The 24,153-nt window shown below is 36.8% G+C and overlaps 2 long non-coding RNA genes across 3 annotated transcripts in view, besides 1 other annotated feature; one reads left to right on the top strand and one right to left on the bottom strand.

Moving 5' to 3' along the window:
• Window positions 1-24,153, bottom strand: part of LINC01580 (long intergenic non-protein coding RNA 1580) — an 83,450-nt gene that overhangs the window by 45,453 nt on the left and 13,844 nt on the right. The gene's annotated exons all lie outside the window — the stretch shown is intronic.
• LINC01581 (long intergenic non-protein coding RNA 1581) overlaps window positions 1-24,153 on the top strand; it is a 202,536-nt gene that overhangs the window by 169,241 nt on the left and 9,142 nt on the right. The window lies entirely within an intron of this gene.
• Window positions 19,367-19,948: an enhancer, noted in NCBI's record as "OCT4-NANOG hESC enhancer chr15:94461979-94462560 (GRCh37/hg19 assembly coordinates)". NCBI's record gives its function as "activates a minimal SCP1, AML or CMV promoter by ChIP-STARR-seq in primed H9 embryonic stem cells {active_cell/tissue: H9 hESC(primed)}" and the evidence as "EXISTENCE:reporter gene assay evidence [ECO:0000049][PMID:30033119]".

Genomic DNA, 24,153 nt, shown 5'->3' with positions numbered 1-24,153 from the left:
CACCACCATGGCTGGCTGATTTTTGTTTTTTAGTAGAGGCAGGGTTTTGCCACATTGGCCAGGCTGGTCTCGAACTCCTTACATCAGGTGATCTGCCCACCTCGGCCTCCAGAAGCTGGGATTACAGGCACGAGCCACCATGCCTGGCCTCCATTGCTTTTTAATGTCATCCCATGTTACAGTTGGCATTCCTATCACAATTTTTCTTATGTGCCCCTTGAATTCAATTTGTTGCTTCCCGATCCATGTCTTTTGCTGCACAGGCCTGCCAATTCTTGCCTCTACTTATTTAATGCCAACATCAAACAGAATCTGGTAAATAAAGGAGCAAATTCATTCCTCATTTCTGAGGTTGGGTTTAGCTGTGATAAACCTGTTGTGTTCCAATTTAGAAATGTACTAAACTTAACTACACTTCTCCCAATATAGCCTTTGGATCTGTATTGGCAAATGTTTCATCAGACAAGCTGCAAACAGTTCTGACTGCTGAAAATCTCCAAAGTGGATGTTCCATGGGCTTTTTAGCCAGAAACTACCTTAGATAAGTGATGGCCAAAGTGTACAGGTGAATCAGCAATTTTAGCTACTTGGTACATTCTAAATTTATACGACCTCATTCTCCAGCTCTTCAACTCAGCATGTGGGAGAGAAAAAGAAGATGTCCAAATAGCTGCTCCCATTAAAATCCCCACGTGTATGAACTCATAAAGCCCCATGTCCCTGTTTCAGGCTGGGATTCCGCATTTCAGCTTTGCTGTTGGCAGCAAGACGCTGTCAGGTCCCTACAACTGGTTCTTAAATGTGCTGTGCTCTTCTCCCTTGGTCACGGAATTGGACTGAATTGTTATGATAAAAAGTGCATGCTATTTGGATTCCCAGAAGGCAATATCATAAAATATCCACTTGTCGAATTTTATGTGAGTTGATTATACATTTATCCATTACTCTTCCACTGCCCTCAAAAAAGAATAAGAAAAAAAAAACTTTTTGATTGAGTTTTAAAATAATCATCCATATGAGTGTTCTTTTTTAATTTATGAGACCAATTTCAAATATTAAAGCTTCAGAGTAAAGAGAATAAAGACCTACTCTGCAGTAAAGCAAAAAGGCACAATGAGAGCTGCAGTCTGGAAGAATTTTTAAATTGCTGCTAATGGGAAAAATGAAATGAGGCAAGTGGGGATAAAAAGCAGGTTCTTGTGATTGTTCTTTAAAGGCAGAGCCTTCTAATGCCTGCAGAAATGTATATTGCAGAGACCAGAAAAGTGGATTTACTTATTGTGTAATAATTACATTACGGAAGTAAGCATACATCTCTTATGTGATGTCTGAGAATTCATATTCGGGAAGACTTCAGTATGCCACTTTCGAATCCAACAAGGTATTACATGGCAGAGAAATTCACAAGGGGTTTGTTAATGCTAAAAAATCAAGATACAAAAAGGTACACTGAATTAATGAAAAAATGCCATTTAAAAATTGGAGAGAGTATACCAAGCATTTTGCATACATTTTCAAAATCTGGTCATCCGCTTTACAAAACAAGGAACACTAAAGGCCAGTAGTGTGTTGGAGTCAACTTTCACTAAATCAAGTCAACTTTCACTAAATCATGATGGCTGATTTTTAATTTCTAGGAATCTTGTGAAGTGGTTGCTGAACTTAACCATTACTTTAAAAACACAGACTATAAACTCACTATTAAATACTTTATAATAAAACAAAGGCAATATTCAAAAGTTAACAGTTTCCATTTTTCTAATATTTTTGTCCTTAAATTTACTTATAGTTATTATCACTGTATGGTGCAAAGACTATAGATTGATGTAATACTGTACATCTCTCCCTACCTTCACATTCAGTAGGACGAACTGTCACTTGAAATAGACCACAGTGGGAATTTTTACCCCCTCCAAAATCAGCAAATGATGTAAACTACAGCTTAATTCATTATTTTGTTTTTTGTCTAGACCTAAGATAATTATGGAGAAAATGTTTATGAGGCAGAATAAATTTAAGAGAAGGAGGTCAGGTGCAGTGACTCATACTTGTAATCCCAGCACTTTGGAAGGCCAAGGCAGGAGGATTGCTTGAAGCAATCAGGAGTTCGAGACCAGCCTGAAGAACATAGAGAGACTCTGTCTCTCTAAAAAAAAATTTAAATTAGCTTGGCATGATGTCACACTCCTACAGTCCCAACTACTTGGGAGACTGAGGTGGGAAGCTGGCTTGAGCCCAGGAATTCGAGGCTGCAGTGAACTGTGATCATAACACTACACTCCAGCTTGGATGAGTGAGTAAGACCCATCCTTGCCTCAAAAAAAAAAAAAAAAAAAAAAAAAAAAAAAAAAAAAAAGGAACGTGTCCACAGCTATTAGATTGTGAATAGCATAAAAATTCCTTCAGAAACTATTCTTTCATTACTCAAAAATTATTATTTGATTTGGCAACAACATCACTTAGGTCACTAAGTGATTAGTGATATTATTTCACTAATAAATAAGTGAAATTCTCACATGTGCCTTTGTTGTTTCACTGTTATCTTATTGTAAATGTAAATTAAACAGCAACAAACAATTCATTTCAGAACTACAATCACTCAGTCAGTCCCAACCACAGTTTAGCTGTGGGTGTAAGAGTAGGCAAAAATCAATGAAATGATTCTGCGATTAACAATCGGCTATAGGAAATTTATACTACAGAGTATTGTATACCGTATTTATAAAATGTATGCTACACATCTTTTATATCAGTAAAATCTATGATAAACTCCTGTGTGTATATATGTGTATATATTTTCAAAACACCAGCACACAACTGAGTAAGGCTCAGAGACTGTCTTCCCTGAGGTCACACAGGGAAGTGATATCCTAAAATTCAGATATCATCTTGTCCCTCTACAGCAAGTAGTGGGTATTAAGGAACTGAGTGGGTATTAAGGAATTGTAGTGGGTATTAAGGAACTGAGGCTGGTGATAGTGAGTAGCATCTATTAGAGGAGGTGAAAAATGTCGATGGCCCAGGCGTTTCTGCAACCCTTTCTTTACAGAAGTCACCACTGCTTTCTATGCAATCTCCTGTTTGTTTTTTTCTGACAGTTGCTGGGAAGGGTTGGTCTGATAAAACCCATGGCCACCTCAATACTGTCCCTCCTTTTTTTTTTTTTTTTTTTTTTTTGAGACGGAGTTTTCACTCTTGTTGCCCAGGCTGGAGTGCAGTGGCACGATCTCGGCTCACCACAACCTCCGCCTCCCGGGTTCAAGCAATTCCCCTGTCTCAGCCTCCCGAGTAGCTGGGATTACAGGCATGTGCCACCACGCCCGGCTAATTGTGTGTTTTTAGTAGAGACGGGGTTTCTCCGTGTTGGTCAGGCTGGTCTCGCACTCCCAACCTCAGGTGATCTGCCCGCCTCGGCCTCCCAAAGCGGTGGGATTACAGGCGTGAGCCACGGCGCCCGGCCTCCTCCTTCTTTTGATCATATAATTAAACACGCACGAGCCTAACCAAACCACGTGTATGCGAGTCTTTCATCAATTACGTTTCCAAGCCTTACCATTGTCAGCCCTCTGCCTCCCTTTCCTGTAAAACATAGGCACAAATTTTAAGGAAATCGTTCTCTCACCCTTTTTAAAGTAATGTCAGTTTCAGACAAAACACGCTCTTCAGTAGTTCCCTATTGTAGGAGCTAGCACTTAAAATAGGCGCATGACCACTTTTATCTGAAGTTTTTTCTTGCTGTGTAACAGCAATAAAATAAAAATCTTACATTTTTTACAGAACTTTAAGCTTTATAATGTATTTTACCACCACTGTATCTTTTGACGCTCATTACAGCAGTGAGATATGTAGGATAGATCTCATGTAACTTAAAAGGAAATTGAGGCTCAGGAAGATTAAAGCAAGTCTGTATGGTTATTGCCCTATCATATCGTAACTCAGGTTTTATTTTTCGTCATCACAGCACCAAACACCCTGAAGTGGAAATGTAAAAAGAAAAAATTCATAAGGTTTATTGGGCAAAGCAAGGCAATAAAGAAAATTACAGAATCCAAATAAATTGAGCAGGAAAATGCCCATCAGTTTCTCATTACAGAAACAGAAGAGCAAGGAAAGGAGAGAAAAGGCATTGGAGACAAAAGTTAGTTTTTTGCAAGTGATATTTCTCAAAGAAATAATGATTTCATCTAACCAAAAAATCACATCAGTTCTTGATGTCAATTCACAGCATCGATGAGCTGATTCTTTCATTGTAGAATAAGAAAAATGAAAAGTAATTGAAAAGGTAATATGTATTAGTATTAGCTCACCTCTATGAGCAGTTACCATGTGCCAGACATTTTACCAAGTGTTTTAAGTCAATTACTCATTAATTTCTCAAAATAATCCTGTGAGGCAACACTGTGGTCATTCTAGTCTATAGGTAAGAAAACAGCCTTAAATACATTTCCTCAAGTAAAAAGTTCAGAAACTTTTATTTGAACCCAGGTTTGTCGAACTCCAGAACCTGTACTCTTAACCCCTATGCTAATCTAGAGATAAAGTAGATTGCCTGTTGCTACTCATCTTGAGGCATTTTACAGCTGCTGCTTCTGCTCAAAAAGCCTATGTTTACTTGACATAGAATTGGGTAACTCCAGGAGCAACGTAAGCTTACAATCCAGCCCTGGACATCAGTGCAGAGCCTGCCCATGGGGGTCAGTGCGGACTAACAGAGGAACCCAACCTTGGCATGGATTGGCTGTATTTCTTTGGGCACATGGCATCATCTCTGAACCAGCTTCTTTATGATAATGATAGGTGAACTTTTGCAAGGGCTCACTGGGACAAAATGTATTAAATTGCCTTGTACTGGAATGTCTGAGGTACTCAGTAAATGCTACTGCATCCTTGCACATTTTGGATTTGCATCATAGGAATGTTCCACCAGGAAGATTCAAATAAATTTCCCTAGGTATGAGCTGGACCCCAAGCAGAATACAACTGCCTGGGAGAACTACACAAAATGGGAGAGGGCAGATGTCTATGGCTTTCCATATTCCACACCTCACAAGCATGGAAATGGCACTGATGGGGTGTATGTGTGATCACTCAGAGGTAACCCTGTGCATTTATCCTCATTTCTCCACCCAAGGCCTCTCAATGATCTGAGGACCCACACAGTCCTCTGTGGCTATGAGTTTTAAAGGTTATTGAAACTAAACATCTTTCACTTTCACCATCCTTTCTTCTTTCCAAAAGGAATTTTCCTCTATTTTCTCCAGAGTGCTCTTGATTCTCTGCCTTTTGCTAGGGAATTTAATTAATGCATCCTAATAAAAAGGAGAAACCATGTGAATGTGAGTTAGCAGGCTGAAATTCAGGCCACTGCTGTGTCTCATATCGATTATTGCTTCATTTTTTTTACTTGGTTTATCGACTTTCAGCCTCACCCCCTTTCTGGTTCATTCCGCATGGTGATCTTCCTAAAACTCAGATATCATCTTGCCCCTCTACAGCAAACATTTCTTCACTGGCTCTTCATGTCTTCAAAGGAAATTCCAAACCACACTGAAAACCTCCCATTTTCCATCAAGCTCCAGTACCAGATCAATTCTTCAGCCTTATCTCTCACCATTTTAATACCATCTGATACTGTAGTTACACTGGATTATTTGTAGTTCTGCAAATTGAAGACTTTACTCAGATTATTTCTGCCTTTCTCTTATAATTCTTCGAACCCAGATTGAGTATCAACAGTGTCTGGAGAACCTGGGCTGAAAGGCAGTGGCTATTTTGTGCTTTTTTACATACTCTATCACACTCTATCTATCTCTATCACAGCTCTTACCTGGTAAGGTGATAATTGTTGCTTACTTATCTCTTTCTTTCACTAGTTCAGGAGTTCTTAAACAACAGGAACTGTGTCTTTCTTTCTCTATATTACCAGCATTCCTTCTAGGGCTTTGTATATAGACGGCAATTTGGAAATGTTTATTAAATGAATGCATCTTACTTATTGACATAAAATACATTCAGACTTATAAACATGTATAGCCATAACTATATCTCCATCCACCTCTGCAATTTTAAAACGATAATGTATAAATAGAAACTGAAAATCAGAAGAGATAAGTTTCAGTTTCAGCTCTGCTACTTATAAACTGTGAGCATTCGGGCAAGTCAATGAACTTTTTAAATCTCTTTATCAGTAAAATGGATGAGTACATCCACTCTAGCTATCTCAGAGAATGTATCATGACTAGATGTGACTGCAGGATGGATCTGGTCGTACCCCAGCCAAATCTCCCTTTTGGAGTGAAGGACCTATTAATTTCACCAAGTGATGGGCCAGATAACAGCAACAGATTGCTAGCTGTCAACCCTATGGGGAGTGCCTTGCTCAAGATTAATTCCTTTTCCTAGCAAGGCTCTTATTTAGTGACTTGGTACAGGTAAGGTTACAAAGATGGGGAAGAGCAATCCCATCTTCAGAGCTTCCCACGGGGTTTGAGGTCTCTTCTGACACCATCACACAGCTCCACATCTCCCTGTTCCCATCCTGCTATGCTTCAGTCCATACTACAGATGCTGCCTCCAGGGACTCTCTCGATTGTACCTCCTGCATGCTAATTTATTAATCTCCAAAATTCCCTTTATCAAAAAAAAAAGTTATCTTGCAAAGGGGTCATGAGCACAGACTTCTAGTGTTACTTAGTATAGATATTGTAAAAATAGGGTTTTATATGGAAAACTGTAAAGACAGAGCAACAATAAAGCACATATAATCCAAGTTCTCCCATTCCATAGAAAGGTATGCTTAGGTTACACAAAGCTAAAATAGATCCATCATGGCAAATGATCCAGTAGAATGGTTATGTTTATACCCCCTCCCACAACTAAAGTTTTCTATGTATTTGTAGGGGGTGTGTGCAGGGACTATCTATGTGACTATATAACTATGGAAAAATTACCTTGCTAGAAGGAGGGACTATGTGAGGCCCAGTAGCTAGAATCAGTTTTTTCTTTCTTTGAGCTATTTTGCACCTGCTAAGCCAGCTTCTGCTAAAATACTAAAAGGGGGAGAAAATGAGGACCATCCAGATTTGCCTCTCTTTGCCTCAAGCCAAAAAAATTCTCAAAGACGCTCATCAAATCTCCACCAGAGTCTTTCTGAACTACATAATAATCATGAAGTCTTTCGATGATAATCTCTAACGTCTACAGTCTAAAACTTATAGATGTGTTATCTCATGCAATCCTTTCAATAATCCTATAGGGTAGAAACTATTATGGAGACTAGATGGGAAACTAGAATTTAATGAAAAGTTAAAATTCTCTCAAAGTCTCATAGCTGGTAGGCAGTTCAGCTTGCATTGGCACCAAGCCAGAAACTACTCTGATCCATGACTTCCGATGAGTTTCGTCAAAAATAAATTATAATTATAATGATATAATGTGTATTAATATCAGTAGAGTACATTATGATACTCTGTCAGATAAAACTAGATTATCTTTCAGATAATGCTATACTAAATAATTGTCTTAAAATATTTTAAAAAAATCTTTGTCATCAAATTTGTGTTTTTAAACTATAATGTATATAGAAATCACAGCAAAATACAAATTTTAGGGCCCCACACCCAACAAGGTTTTAGATAGGCCTAGAAATCTGCCTTTTAGAAAGAATCTTCAGTGATCCTTAGTGAGATGGGTCTCAATCCACACTTTGAGAGATGTGAATCTAGCTGTTAGGTATAGCATTTAAAACCATTAGGCACATGGTCACTTAAACGTACGCTTGATATCATTCTACTAAAAACAAAATTGAGCACTAGACACTTAACTATGACTATTATTAACTTATCTCTACCACATTGTAGATTTTACTTTCACTGTTTTTATTTACAGCAATTTTAATGTCTATATGGGAGGATTATGTATGTTCAATAGAGGTAAATAGTATAGTATCTATCATGTGAAAGGCACTTCAACCCATTATAACTAACCCTCACGTCACCACGATGATTCCTATAAAGTAGAAAATTGAGGTTCAGAGAAGTTAAGAAATATCTCCACATCACACAGTTCATAAATGCCAAAGTTAAGATTTAGATACTGGTTCAGCAAATTGAGTAGCCAATATTGTTTTCACCAAGACACAATTTTTCCCAGTCACAGTCTTCCAATCTGTTGAGTTGCTTCATGACCTCTCAGAGATAACTCAAGTCTAAGTCCTTAAAAAGAGAGCCAGGGGTAAAAGTATTAGGTTCATCTGATGGTGAGTTCTCTTCAAGCCATATACACATTTAGCTCCTCCTCATCTAGAAACAGGGAATTGCCTACGTTTTTAATACAGAAGAGAGAGGCTAAGTATTTGTGTGACCATTTCAAACACTTCCAACTGCTACCACGCCAACAATAAAGGGAAAAGAAAAAAGAATGAGAAGAAAAGAGAACAATTCACATTTAAGGTACTTATTTAGATTAATGAAGCAAAATGTGCCTTCAGAATCTAGCACTAAAGTTTTGCTTCTTTTTTTTTTTTTAATGGTGGGTGGGTGGAAATGTGCCATATTTATCTAAACACATCTTATAAAATCATCTGGTGTAGGTGCAAATTCAGTCTCCTTGCTTCTGGTCTCTTTTTCTTCCCATTCCCTCAGGGGTAGCTTTCTGGGAATTGCTAATTCATTGAGGATGCTGAAGAGGACAGGACCCATGCTGATGACTCACATTCTTTCAAATACAGTCAAGGGTGGGCCGGAGGACTGCTTTGGTTGAATCCCGTTACACACATCCTCTGGCTCTCTACAAGCTATTTGTAGAAGCAGACAGAAAGCTCCAGGAGAGACGATCCTTGTCAGAGGGCTGGGAACAGCACCAGAAAAACTGTTTCACCCCATCTCTGACTCAGATACTTCCTGCCCTGGCTGGAATCAGATGTTGCCAAGACAGCTGTGGGAGAAAAAAAAAATGGAAGAAAACCTAACTTTTCAAAAGTAAGCTTCTATTTAAACGGAAGTTAATCAAGTAGTTGAATTTGGACAAAGATTCAGGTTGTGACTGCCCAATGCCACCAGAAAGTCTGAGCTCAGTGCCAAAGTCCCTCGTGGCTAAATCCACCAGCTCTGGCAGGGTGGGTCTGAGGAATGCACTAGGTGTTAGACACATCCGGACTCCACAGATTCTGCTAGGGGTTCACCTGGATGACAACAACCGAGCAGCCAGGTTGGGGGAGAGTGAAATCTAAAATGCATCTCATTTTCTTTTGTATTTTTTAAAGTAGTGAAGAGCTCATTTCTACCATATTTATTTTCTTTAGTATTTTTTAAATACTAAAAAAAACTCATTTTCTTTAGTATTTTTTAAAGTTTCATGAAGAGGCAATTTCTACAGTATTTATTATTTGTGCTGACTATAGAGGCACTGCTTGATTAAAATAGAATATGGACAATTCACTAAAGCATTAATGGAAAAAGCCACCCAAAGTCTTACCACCCAAAGATAACTACTATAAAAAATTATGCACTTGAATCCATATCAGAACATTTCTACTCTTGTTTCCTAGTCTGTATATATGTATATGTATTATATTAGTGACCTCATATAAGAGTTTTATACCAATTTTCCACTTTATATGAGGTTATTAAAGTTTTTATAAACTTTTTACAATTCTGATTTCTTTCATTTTCTCTCAAATTGTTTTCTCATATAAAAATAACATCTTATACTTACTAAGTGCTCACAATGTGTTGTCACACAGTGTTCTAAGTGCTGTATATATATACATATATATATGTGCTAATTTAATAGTCACAGCAAAGCTTAATTTATATCTGAGGGAACTGAGACTCAGAGAGATGAACTGACTTGCTGAATGTCACACAGCTGAAAAGAGGGGAAGCCAGAACTTTTCCAAGTGATCAGATAAAGAACTCACACTCACTGTATATACCTCTTGTCTCTATATAACAAATCTTCCTTAAAAAAATAGATATATTTTATCATAAAATAACTTTTCTCCTACCATAATACTCTCACTCCAGGGAGCTATTTGTTTAACAAATAATCACTGGGATCATACGCTAGTCCAGACACTGTGCTAGTTATTGGGAAAATACAAAGTTAAAGGGGACACAACTCTGATTCACTCATTAATTTATTAAAGCACAATTTGCTGAACACTACATGTATCCATTGTTCCAGAAGCTAGAGGTATAAAAGGAAAATGGTAGAAGGACTTGTTTCATGGAGTTTATATTCTCATTGGGTGAAGAGAAGACAAAAACTAAGCAAACAAAAATATTTTGTGACGTCAATGTTGTGGAGAAACAGCAAGGCAGGAGGTGAGGAGGTTCTGGTGCTCTTCTCCATGGGTGCTTGGGGAAGGAAGCCCTCACAGGTGAATGGCATTGAAACAGAGACATGGGAGAAGTTAGGGAGTGAAGCACATGGCTGTCTGGAAAAAACCATTCTGCACCATGCCACAGTTCTGAAGAGGGGCATGAACATAAATATAAATAAGTGTTTCATAGCAGGGAAAGCAAGATACAATCCATGGAAGCAAAGACCAGGAAGAGCAAGCCATCGAACATGGCAGGAGGGAAGGCTGCGCATGCGGGGGTGGTGAGGCATAAATGGCCAGAAAGTACGTGGTAACCACATTATAATGAACTTGAATGTCAGATTGTCTTACTGCAGTAAGAAGCTGGTCTACAGTGGAATATCACCTTACACTTTTTAAGATGGCCATTATAACAAAACAAAACAAGAAATAAAGTGAGTAGGTCAGATGTGAAGAAACTGGAACCCTTGTAAACTGTTGGTGGGAATGTAAAATCGTGCCGTCATGATGGAAAACAGTAGGAAAGTTATTCTGAAAGTTGAAAATAGAGCTACCAGGGAATCTAGCAATCCAAGTTCTGGGTATATGTCCAAAAGAAGAGAAATCAAGATCTGGAAGAGTTATCTGCATTCCCATGTTCACTGCAGCATTACTCACAATAGCCAAGATATAGAAACAACCCAGATGCCCACTGACAGATGAATGGATAGAGAAACTGCAGTAAATATATATAATAAAATATTATTCAACCATAAAACGAAGGAAATCCTGCCATTTGTGATGACAGGGATGAACTCTGAGGCTACTGTGTGCCAAGTGAAAGAAGCCAGTAACAGAAGGACAAATACGGTATGATCCCACTTGTATGAGGTATCGATAAAAGTCAAACTCAGAGAAGCAGAGAATAAAATAGCGCCACAGGCTAGAAGAAGGAAAGAAATGGGGAGTTGTTGTTGAATGAGTATAGGGTCTCAATTATGTCAGATGAGTAAGTTTTAGAGATATGCTGTACGACACAGTGCCTATAGTTGACGATATGGTACTGTGCACTTCAGAATTTGTTAAGAAGCTAGATCTTACCACATACACACATAAAACAAAACAACATAATAAACAAAGCAACATAAGAAAACTTTGGGAGATGTTGGATGTGCCCATTACCCCGACTGTAGTGATAGTATCCAATGGGAGTTTAATCCAAACTCATCAAATTGTACACGTTAAATATGTGCAGTTCTTTGTTCACTATACCTTAATAAAGCTGTTTTTTATAAAAAGCTGGTCTGCCGTCTTCTATCTCTAGAATTCTGTCATCAACTCATTCCCTGTTTTCATAAATCCCAATGAGAAACTTCATACATTTTAAGTCTCGATCATCAGAAACCCACTTTTTAAAAAAGGTTTTGGTGTTCAACATTCTTTAGAAAACACTAACAATTGTCTTTGCTCCTGGACTCTTAAAGGAGCAATGAAAGAGGCTTTATCATACCTAAGACACAGCAACACTTCTTTTTTTTTTTTTTGAGACAGGGTCTCACTCTCTCACCCAGGCTGGAGTGCAGTGGCACAATCTCAGCTCACTGCAACCTCTGCCTCCCAGCTTCAAGCGATTCTCCTGCCTCAGCCTTACAAGTATCTGGGATTACAGGTGCACACCACTACCACCCAGCTAATTTTTGTATTTTTAGTAGAGATGGGGTTTCACCATGTTGACCAGGCTGGTCTTGAACTCCTGACCTCAAATGATCCACCTGCCTCGGCCTCCCAAAGTGCTGGAATTACAGGCGTGAGCCACCACACCAGGCCCAGCAACACTTCTTAAACACCTTCTTTATAACTCTATCCCTCCCACAGCCTCATGCCACCTATTAGTGGCTTTGGTCTTTTTTCCCTTCTGGTTGTATGGGACCCCCAAGGTCACACAGGTGTCTTATTCACATCTGCCTCTTGTTGGCATCCCTTTCTTGTCCAATATCATTTTAAATGACTGTGCTCTTGACTTGGAGCATGTCTCATCCTGGAGCGTAAATCCTCCATCACTCTTTTTTTCAAGAAGAGACACACTTGTCAAAAAACAAAAACTTCCTTCCCTTGAAGAACAAAATCATTGATTCTGTTTGCAAATTATACACATTTACAAAATCTTTAGCTCATAGCTCCAACAGAAATATCCAGCCCCTAAGTTCCCTTGTCCCTAAAACTGTAAATTTAATTTATCAGTAGCTGGCACCATTTCCCTCTCACCTTGAGTTGAAACCATGAAGCCCAGAGGACTCGTTTTTTATTGGCTCATGCTCCCAGCAGCCTGGCTGTCATGGGGAAGGTGCACTCTCTGTTTCCTTCTAGAAGGGATGCTGGAGCCTGTACGTTAGGTCCCCAATCCCTTATGGAAGGCTCTGAAACATTACCTCATTAGCCCTGCCTTAATGCATGACCAGGATTTTATGTCTTTTGCTGCATTTGAAAGACATAAAATCAATTAAAAATTTTTTTTGAAAATACAATGTAGGTCTCGTAAATAAGCAGAGATGCACAATTCCACAACACACAGCAACAGTTCTTGTTAAACCTCTCTCCCTCTGACAACATACAACAGCTCCTTCTTTTCCAATTCATTACCACCTCACTCATTCTTTTCCACTTACTAAGCATAACTTTGAATAGAGTCTACACTTTCCAAAATCCTGTGCCCTTAACAAGCCTTCTTGAAGCTCAAAATTCACTGCAGAGTATAGTCTGTGCCCTACACCAAAGGTGTCTTGCAAGAATAGCATCCTGTTGAATTCCATTGAAGAAACTTCTTCTACATAACAACCGGCATAACATTAGTGTTCACATTTCAAAAAACAACAATGAAAATGTAAATCCTGGTAACTTTGGTATCAAATCACAGTTATTTGTAAAGATGTCAAATAAATATAATGAATTAGAAGTTAAAATGACAGTTTAACCTGAAAATTTTCAAAGACAAAACACAGCAAAAGGAGTAGGAGATAAATGGTAAGGACCGCTAAGGTCATTCTCCTGCCCTGAATCGACCTTCCCCTGAGTGTCTGAGGACTGGGTTTCATTCCAACTCCCTTCAATTGCCTTGACATTCAACCACACTTCCTGAACCTTCTGCCTCATTCTTCTCTCTGCTCAATAAAACATTTTTGTATCCAAACCTAAAATAACTTCACTGATTTTTTTACAATTGTAAAACAACAAAAACTCATTATGAAAAGTCCAAATTATATAAAACTCTAAAAAGCAATAAAAATAATGGCACCGCTGAGAGATGACAATTATTAACATTTTGTTATACTCCATTCAAGACAATTGTAATGTGTATGTTTATAAATATAGATGCTTTTTTAACCTTAAAAAATTACCATGCTTATAATATATGTCATATATTTATCTTTATTTTCATTTTAAATTTTTTATACTATAATTTATTTGAAATTATAAAAGTAATACATATTCATTATAAGTGAGACAATTCAAAGATGTGAATAAAAAATTAATCATCTTCTTTGATCTTTTCCTTTTTTTGTCCCCTAACATTGTTAATATAACAATGTTATATTAACATAACCACATAACAACCAAAACATTGTTAATTTGTAAGATTTTTGAAAAACAGTATAAAAAAATGAAGCATAACATGTTTGGGTGTTGTTTTTCACCAGCAACAGCCTTCCTGAGAGAAGAAGAAAGATTAATTTGACGTGCTCACCTATATTCTACTGATTTTGCTGTATATATTTTAATGTTTATACTTAAAATAACCAACTTTTGATTTTGTCGATTTACTCCGTTGTTTCATTATTTCATTATTTATTAGTTCATTACTTTTTATTCTAGTCTATTATTTTCTTTCTTCTATTTGCTTTGTGTACAGTTTAATCTTTTTAAACTAGTTGCTTAGGGTAGGAAATTACGTGATCAATTTGAGATTTTTCTTAAAAAATAGTTCTTCAGTTATAAATTTCCCTTTAGTACTACTTTAGCTGTATCCAATGAGTTGTGGTATGCTGTTTTTGGATTTTATTCATTTCAATTGTTGATTTTCAAAGTATTTTCTAATTTTACATGTGATTTTTTTTCTGTGACCCATTGATTATTTAAGAGTATGATTGTTTTTTAAATTATCACAAATTTGTAAATTTCCTTCTGTTATTGCTTTCTAGTTTTATTTTATTTGAGTCAGAGAACATACATTTAGTTATTTCAATTCTTTAAACTTTATTAAGTTCTTTAAAAAATATTGCCTATTGTCCATTCTAGAGAATGTTCCATGTGCATTTAAGAATGTTTATTCTAAGCTGGGCATGGTAGCTCATGCCTGTAATCCCAGCACTTTGGGAGGCTGAGGCAGGCGGATCCCGAGGTCAGGAGATTGAGACCAGCCTGGCCAACACAGTGAAACCGCGTCTCTACTAAAAATACAAAAATTAGCCGGGCATGGTGGTGCACGCCTGTAGTCACAGCTACTCAGGAGGCTGAGACAGGAGAATCGCTTGAACCCGGGAGGCAGAAGTTGTAGTGAGCCAAGATCGCACCACTGCACTCCAGCCTGGGCAACAGAGCCAAGACTCCATCTCAAAAAAAAAAAAAAAAAAAAGAATGTTTATTCTACCATTTTTGGGTGAAGACTTCTCTAAAATTCTGTTAGGTCTAATTACTTTATAGTCTTATTTAAGTCTTCTATTTCTTTGTTGATATTCTTTCTCATTGTTTTTCCTAGTATTGAAAACCCATACTGAAGTCTCCAATTGTTTTTGACTTGTCTATTTCTCTCTTCAATTCTATCAATTTTAGCTTCATGTATTTTGCGACTTTGTTGTCAGGCATAGTACATATTTATATACACACACACATGTGTGCATATGTATATATACACATACATGTGAATATGTGTAATTTATATTATATATAATTACATATATTGTTGATAAAGTAATATTTATGTCTTCCATTTTGCTCTTTGATTTCTGAAGATCTTACTTTTTTCCCCTTTAATTCTCCATACTGTCTTCTTCATACCGTATAGATAATTCTAGTATACCACTTTAATTTCCTTACTTTTAAGCTGTGTATTTTTAGTAATTCTCTTAGTGGATGCTCTGGGAGTTACAATTAACATCCTAAAACAATCTAGGTAAGATTAATACCAAGTTAATTTCAATAGTATGTAAAAACTCACTTCTGTATAACTTCACTCCCCCTCCCATTTGTATTATTATCACACAAATAACATCTTGATTCATTATAAGCTCATCAACTCAGCTTTACAGTTATTGCTTTAAGTAGTTTTCTTTAAGTCAGATAAGACAATAAAAGTTTCAAACAAACATATATTTATACTGTTTTAAAAGTTTACCTATATATTTATCTTTCTTGGTTTTCCTTATTTGTTTATGAATTCAAGTTACTCTATTGCCTCTTCAACTCATCTTGTAAGATTTATTTTAGCATTTTTTTGGCAGGTCTGCTAATAACAAGTTTACTCATTTTGTTTATCTGAGAATGTCTTAATTTCTTCTTTGCTTTTGAATGACAGTTTTGCTGGATATTAAATTCCTGGTTGAAAGTCTTTTCCTTTCAGCACTTTAATTATGACATGCCACTGCCTTCTTTGCTCCATGATTTCTGTCATTAAATCAGTTATTAATCTTACTGAGAATCCCTTGTATATGATAGGCCACTTTTCTCTTATTGCTTTGAAGATTCTCTCTTTGTCTTTGTTAAAGGACCGTTTACCAATGGCATACTTAGAATAAATCTCTTTGAGTTTATCAAACTTGAATTGATTGGTAAATTTTTGGCCATCGTTTCTTCAAATATTCTTCCCTCCCCTTTTTTTCCTCTTCTTTTGGAAATTCTATTATAGATATGTTGGTATGCTTAAAGTGTACCAATGTCTCTATTCATTTCTCTTTACTCTTTATCCTTTTTGTTCCTCAGGATGTATACTCTCAAGTGACATTTGTTCAAGTTTCTTCTGCCAGCTCAATATGTTGTTGATTCCTTCTAGTAAATTCTTCATTTTAGTTCTTATACTTTCCAACTCGAGAGTTTCTATTTGGCTCTTTTTTAGAGTCCCTTCTCTACTGATAATCTCTCTTTGGAAAGACATCATGCTCACAGTTTACTTCAATTTTTTAGACATGTTTTTCTTTAATTCCTTGTACTTTTAAAATTTAAACTATTTATTCAGTATAACATCTGTGCTTCTTGAAGTACTATTTCTCTTGAGTACTTTTTTCTCTTTGTGTGCCAGATACCTTTTTCTTTGTAAGTCTTATTCTTTGTTGTTGTTGAAAACTAAACATTTGAAAGAATATGATATGGCAACTCTTGAATTCAGATTACGCTCCCCTACTTTTACAGTGTTTTTTACTTGTTGCTGTTTATTAGAATTGTTTAGTGACTTTCTCATACTAATTTTGTAAAATTTGTATTGTTTTGGTCTTGTGCAGCCTGTGAAATATCTACTTAGTTAGCTTAGTGATCAGCTAATGGATTGATGAATATGTCCTTACATTACTTGTGTCAATAATTCTCCAAATCTTTGCTAAGTGGCTCTGTGTGTAGATATAGGGAATGCCTACAACACTCAAGCAGACAGTTCCCAACTCTGCCCTAGCCGTCACTTTTGGCTTTCACAGTAAGGGAGGAGGCCACCCCTCATATTGTCTTATGCCCAATTTCTGCCTCCAAAGAAAGATAAAGTAAAAACTAAAAGGCAGAAATGAAATTGACAAGCAGACAGCCCGGCGCCACACCCTGGGCCTGGTAGTTAAAGATCGACCCCTGACCTATCAATTATGTTATCTATAGATTACAGACATTGTATAGAAAAGCACTGTGAAAATCTCTATCCTGTTTTGTTCCGATCTAATTACCGGTGCATGCAGCTCCTAGTCACGTACCCGCTGCTTGCTCTATCGATCATGACCCTCTCACGCGCACCCCCTTAGAGTTGTGAGCCCTTAAAAGGGACAGGAATTGCTCACTCAGAGAGCTCGGCTCTTGAGACAGGAGTCTTGCCGATGCCCCCGGCCGAATAAACCCCTTCCTTCTTTAACTCAGTGTCTGAGGAGTTTTGTCTGAGGAGTTTTGTAGCTGGTCCTGCTACAACAGAGTCTTAAAGGCAGACAGAAATAAGGGATTAGGGTGCTCTCAGGTCTTTATGGGTATGCATACAGCCCTGGGCATGTGCAAGCACATGAGTATGATGGTTAATTATATGCGTCAACTTTAATGGGCCACAGTATACCTAGATATCTGGTTAGACATTACTTCGGGGCATGTCTGTGAGCATGTTTTCAGAAGAGATTACCATTTGAATTTGTGAGCTGAGTAAAGCAGCTGGCCCTCCCCAACATGAGTGGCCATCAATTCATCCATCTAAAGACTGAATAGAACAAAAAGACAGAAGAAGTTTAAATTTTCATTCAACCTGATTGCCTGTGTTGAGACACTGATCTCCTGCACTTGGCACTTCTGATTCTCAGGACTTCAGACCTAGGCTAGGATCTACACTATTAGCTCTCCAGCTCTCATGCCTTCAAACTACACCACTAGCTTTTTTGGATCATCAGCTTACGTACGGCAGGTCATGGAACTTCTCAGCTTCCATTATCACATGAGCCAATACCTTATAATAAATCTGTCTATCTATCATTTATCTACCTATCTATCTACTTATCCATCTATCAATCATCTCTCCTGTTTCTCTAGAGACCCCTGACTAATATAGCAACCTTCTAAATGTCCAGGAGTATGCCAAAGCTTTCGAAGTCCCCTATAATTCCCCCATATTTCCTTTTAAGTTTTTGATTAGCCTTTTGTTAGCTCCAGCTATAATTCTGCCTCATGCAGCTGCAAAGGTAAACAATCGCCACTGGTTGTTTTCAACCAATGAACCGCAAATAAGGCCATTCACACAGAGTAGCTGAGTCAGGTCAGTTAAAGACAAGCCCCAAGAATGATGCTTTTCAAAGTACTGCCAGACAGTAAACGGAATGGTGTATTTGGGTAGCTCCAAGTCCATTCAGCCCTTTCCAGCAGCTGCTAGGTTACTGTTTTTCAAATGTACCATGGATCTTGGGAGGAGAGATGAGATTAGGTCAAATTGTAATGCCATAGAATTTATTGTTCCTACTAATATTTAGCCATTACTCTTAAATAAATTTCTTCAGATTGTTGCAAGCCTTTAATTAACTTCCAGAGCTCTGAAAAAGTTGATTTTGACAGTTTTAAACAGTATTCTTATTGCTTTTATAGAGAAAGGGGTTTTTTAAAGATTTTTCGGAAGTCTTCAGTCATTTTTTAATAAAAATTGTTAAGACTATATATAGTTTCTGAATACAATTTAGCTGTGTTCCAAATATTCTAGCATAGAGTGCTCTTCTACTTATTTTTAATTATTTAAATTAAAAAATTCATTATTGAACCAAAACTTGATTTGAGAAAGTGTTTCACATTTTCCATGTATATACTCTCTTGGTTTCTTTATTTTAGTTTTAATGTATTAAAGAAAAAGTGTGACCTTGTCAGTCTTGACTTTTGCATGTTTATTAAAGTTTTCTTTGTGGATACTTCCATGAATGATTTTTGTAAATGTTTCTGGAAATAAAATTATATATTTTTTGTGCATGGGTACAAAGTTATATTAGTCAAAGACTATATGTTGCTGACCTACATAATCTGTAAACTTTCCATTTAATTCATATTTAAAATTTTTACCCTTTTAGGAACTTTTCCTTACGGTTAGCACATAAACATAATGTTTTATTTGCATGGGACATTTTCTTTCACAAAATATCTCCCATTTTCATATTTACTGTTTTGGCCCTTGGTAATTCTTCTGCATCTAATGTTCTTCTAATATTACTATTATTATTCTTGCTTTCCTTACTTGTATTTGTCTAGTGTATATTTTCCTAACTCTACATTTTCAATTTTTATTTTATCATTTTCTCTTGCCAATTCAACACTTTAACTTATTTTCCTGGTAGATTTTATGAACCCACAAAATCTGAGACAGGTAATTTAGAAAGTGTATTTTACCAAGGTTGAGGACGCCCCGTGGCACAGCCTCAGGAAGTCCTGATGACATGTGCCCAAGGCAGTTGGGGTGCAGCATTTTAGGGAGACATAAGACATCAATCGAGTACATTTAAGACATACATTGGTTTGGTCCAGAAAGGTAGGCAACTCAAAGTGGAGGTGGGGGTTCCAGGCTATAGGTAAATTTAAACATTTTCTGGTTGACGATTGGTTGAGTTTGTCTGAAGACCTGGGATCAATAGAAAGGAATGTTTGGGTTGAGATAAGAGGCTGTGGAGACCAAAGTTTTATCATGCAGATGAAGCTTTTAGCTAGCAGGCTTCTGAGAGAGCAGAGAGAAATGTTTCTTATCAGACTGAAAAGTCTGCGTTGATGTTAGTGCCTGAGAGGTATAATGAGGCATGTTTCCACCTCCTCTTCCCTTCATGGCCTGAACCAGTCTTTCAGGTTAAATTTTAAGAGCCCTGGCTGAGGAGAAAGTTTGTTCAGATGGTTGGGGGGCCTTAGAATTTTATTTCTGGTTTACAATTTAGAGTTCTTTCATATCATTTGTTTTCAATAATGTCATCAGAGAGATATATGTTATGGAACAACAATAACAAATATTTAGCTCTTCCTTAGATATTACGTATACGAATGAGTCTTATTCTAGATTAGCGGTAGGCCTTGAAAGAAATTTATGAAAAGGTAGATTTTTAAATTTGGTTTATTTTCCCTTTATCCTCATAAGGCACCAAAGAATATCAAGTCTCTGTACTTGATATGTCAAGATTTTTAAATAAAATAAAATCTAATGCTAAGTTTAAAATAACCAGCTGAGTGTGATGGTTCATGCACATAATCCCAGCACTTTGGGATTCTGAGACAGAAGGATTGCTTGAGGCCAGGAGTTCAAGACCAGCGTGGTCAACACAGCAAGACCCTATCTCTACAAAAATATTAAAAAATTAGCCAGGAGTCGTGGTGCATGCCTGTAGTCCCAGCTACTTGGGAGGCTGAGGCAGGAGGATCACTTGAGCCCAGGAGCTCGAGGTTACACTGAGCTACAGTTGTGCCAGTCACTCCAGCCTGTGCGACCAAGTGATACCCTGTCTCTAAAATTAAAAATTAATAAATAAAATAAAATCATGCTAATTGGAATTGAACTGCAAATCCAAGAAGTTAGTGGCCTTCTGCAAAAGAATGAATGGCAAAGCTTTTTATTAAGTGCATAGAAGATATTATAAACCACAATTTCTATCCCAACTTGGACAGTTTATTTAAGGTCTGAAAAGTAATTTGTTAAAAATGTTATCTATGACCTCATGCTAATTATTTTATTAATATTATTTCATTTAATTCTCAAAGAAAGTGATAATACATGGGAAGTGTATGGACTGGAATTTGGTATATATTAAATATGCAATAAGTGCGAGCCAGTTTTATTGTGAATATGAATAACTTATGATTAAGAAGTGCTTATGGATTTGTTATCATCACCTGTAAAGAGGTTAAGTGACATGATTGACCAGATCTACTTGGTTAGTTAGTAGCAGAGACAGAATTCAAGTTTTTGTAAATTTTATTCCAAACCCAATTCTTTTCCTTCTTTGTCTTACTGCTTTAAAAGGAAAAAAATAAACAAATATAAAATGTTGAAAAGTCATTGAGGCCCATTTTACAACATAACTACTGCAACTTCCAAAGAATCCTCAAATATAAAGAAAAATACTTCTGATTGTTTATTTTCATTTTCTAAATACATCTTACTCATTTTTCTAATGCCAAATGTTAATTTACTAGTTCCCAGTAGTCATGACAGGACTTCTGTGTAGCGGGTGGTATTTAGACAAGTCTCAGGACCCTATTTGACAATGAACTCTGCCCAGATAGAAGAAAGTTCTATCACCATGAAAGGAAGCACTCACCCCTGGGAAGGGCAGTTGCCAGTTCCACCACTTCCAGCACTGCCCCTGCTGTTATGGAGCCATCAGAGAAGATGCTGCTTCAAAAAACAAACTCATTTGCAAACCTTTCATAATCCTTCCTGGGGATCTCAAGGTCACACTAACTTCTATCCTTCAAAAGCCTTTCTCATCTGCATTGCAGAGACTTAAACTGATCTCCAAATATTCTGCTATATCCTCTTTAACAGTGTCCTTTCTCTTCTTCCTCTCTCTGCCTGCCAACCTCGCCTAATTCTCTTACATATTCCACAAGGCCACATTCAATTAGCCTTGTTCTATGACAATTTCTCTAAACCATTCAGTCTACATCAACCCTTGAAATGCGAACAAATCATATAATATTTTGTATTCTTTAACGTCAAATTAAGTGTAATGTCCTGCAAGAACAGGAACTGTCATATGCATGTTATCACCCAGCGAGAACTAATATAGTTCCAGACACATAATAGTTACCAAAATAAAATTCCTTAAGTTAAAAAAAACTTTGAGCCAGGCACAGTGGCTCACACCGGTAATCCCAGCGCTTTGAGAGGCTGAAGTGGGTGGATCACCTGAGGTCAGGAGTTCAAGACCAGCGTGATCAACATGGTGAAACCCTGTCTCTACTAAATAGAAAAAATTAGCTGGGCATGATGGCGCATTCCTGACATCCCAGCTACTTGGGAGGCTGAGGCAGGAGAATTGCTTGAATCCAGGAGGCAGGTTGCAGTGAGTCAAGATTGTGCCATTGCTCTCCAGCCTGGGTAACAAGAACAAAACCCTGTCTAAAAAAAAAAAACAACAAAAAACAAACAAACAAAAAATAAACAAACAAAAACTTTAGAATAGTATGATGGCTACATTTATATATGTCATTTAAATATGTTCTGTGGATCTAGCGTGGCTGTATTCCATGAACAATTTTTGGTGTTTTTGTACTGTAGTCATGTAATTATAAAATGCAATAAAAAACAACCCAAAAACCCCCCCTAAATCCATGTAAACATTTTTAACCTTACACAAATTTAAGAGTTTAAACATTATTAAATGTCAAACCAGAGCTTTGCCTCCTCATTAATCAAAGTGAAAAGGAGAATTAAGACCATTGTTCCTAATTATACCAAAATTTCAACCTGCTTTTCTACTAATTTTATATTGCTTAAAAAATATGATATGGTATAAACTAAAATAAGCATGTAATAAATTTTACTAGTAATTATTTTAGCCAAACATTTACATCAAAACATAAAGATAGATATTTTAACAGAAAATACATCACTTATATATCTTCAAAATCACTGTAATTTAATCCAAATTTCATTCCTAAATTTTAACATATCTCTGGCTTCAGAATGACTTTAATCCATTGGTTTGTAGTCTCAAATCTCTCTTCCTAGAGACAAGTCTTGAACTCTAGAACTTCAGTTCTTTAGGAAAACTTAACATAAAAATCCCATTTTCACTGGCTCATTGTGAACTTTGCTATTTCTGACTTTAAAATGTCTTTATCTCTTTGCTGATAGTTGACTATAAAAATGCTTCATTTCTGATATCATATCAAATTATTTTTCTTGTCCTTGCAAGAAGAAGAATGTCTACTGTTGGTGTGCTGCCAACATCACTTCTTCTAGTTCACTTTCCACTGTGTGTTTGTTTATATACATAGAAACATATATAACCCATTTGACGAGGTCTCTCTTATTTTAAGGAGACTTGATTTCTTTTCATATTTATTTACTTTCTAAATATAATGAAACTTTTCAACAAAACTATAAAATGGTTTTGTTTTCATGAATTCTACCCTTCCAATGTTCAAATATTTCGGAAAATGCTTGAACCTGTTGTGCCTCCAGTTCTCTCATTTAATCTGATGCACAAAAAGTTTCTGAACACCTGCTATGTGCCAGTTACTGGTAAGAGACTATTTGTTTTAAGTGCACATGCTTTCACAGAGAAGAGGTTGGCATATTCTATTCTAGATGTTTCCAATGCCTTTGTCATTGTGGAAATACCATTTGTTCTCAGCCCAAAAAAGTACTGTGAAAATGTCTCAGCCAAAATATAAAAATCAAAGGTGTTTTGTTTCCCTAAATACTCTCTAGTCTGTGGAGATCTGAACACCTTATCTTTCATGTGCTGCTGCTGCTGCCAGGCAGTTTTAGGTGAGTTGACCATCCTTGCTTGCCCACACTTAATTTCTATCTTCTGAAAATGCAGTGTCATTATATGCTTGGCCTGACCAATGAGTTAATGACTAGGGATCACTTTGAGTGACAGCATTCCAGTTCTACAGCAATAATACATCTGACTCAAAGGAGAAACCACTGATCATTAGGATCAGCAATTAGAAATCTATACGTAATTGCCCATCAAAGACTGGCCCTTGAACTCACTTTTTGGGTGCATTCTGCAGGTTATATATGGAACCTAGAAGTGAAAAAATAGCAAATGGCATGAAAAGATGCGCTTTAAGTAGCACTCTGATGCTGTGACAATCTGGGAGCCATCTGTACTGAGAGATACAGTGTTCCTTTGTTTAAAAAGAAGATTTCTTTTATTAATAATCTCTCACACCAGCATACCCATAAAAGAAAAGTCATCCCAATCTCACATGGTCTGGCGAGGAGGGAGCTGGTAAAATACTAGCATGAGCACCTAATGCCTTAGCAGACTAGAGATATTACCAAAATATTGAGTAAAGAGTCTTCAGATTATGAAGGGATTAAATATCTATTATAAATTTTAAAGTAAATTTAAAATTAATCAACAAATCTTAGATTAACTGTAAAAAATATGAACCATCACATGGAACAAATAATCTTTTAGTCTATATATTAAATT

The sequence above is a fragment of the Homo sapiens genome, chromosome 15, assembly GCF_000001405.40.
Source record: "Homo sapiens chromosome 15, GRCh38.p14 Primary Assembly".
Taxonomy (NCBI): domain Eukaryota; kingdom Metazoa; phylum Chordata; class Mammalia; order Primates; family Hominidae; genus Homo; species Homo sapiens.
Note: the sequence above shows the minus strand (reverse complement) of the source record. Positions and strands in the feature narration are given on the sequence as shown.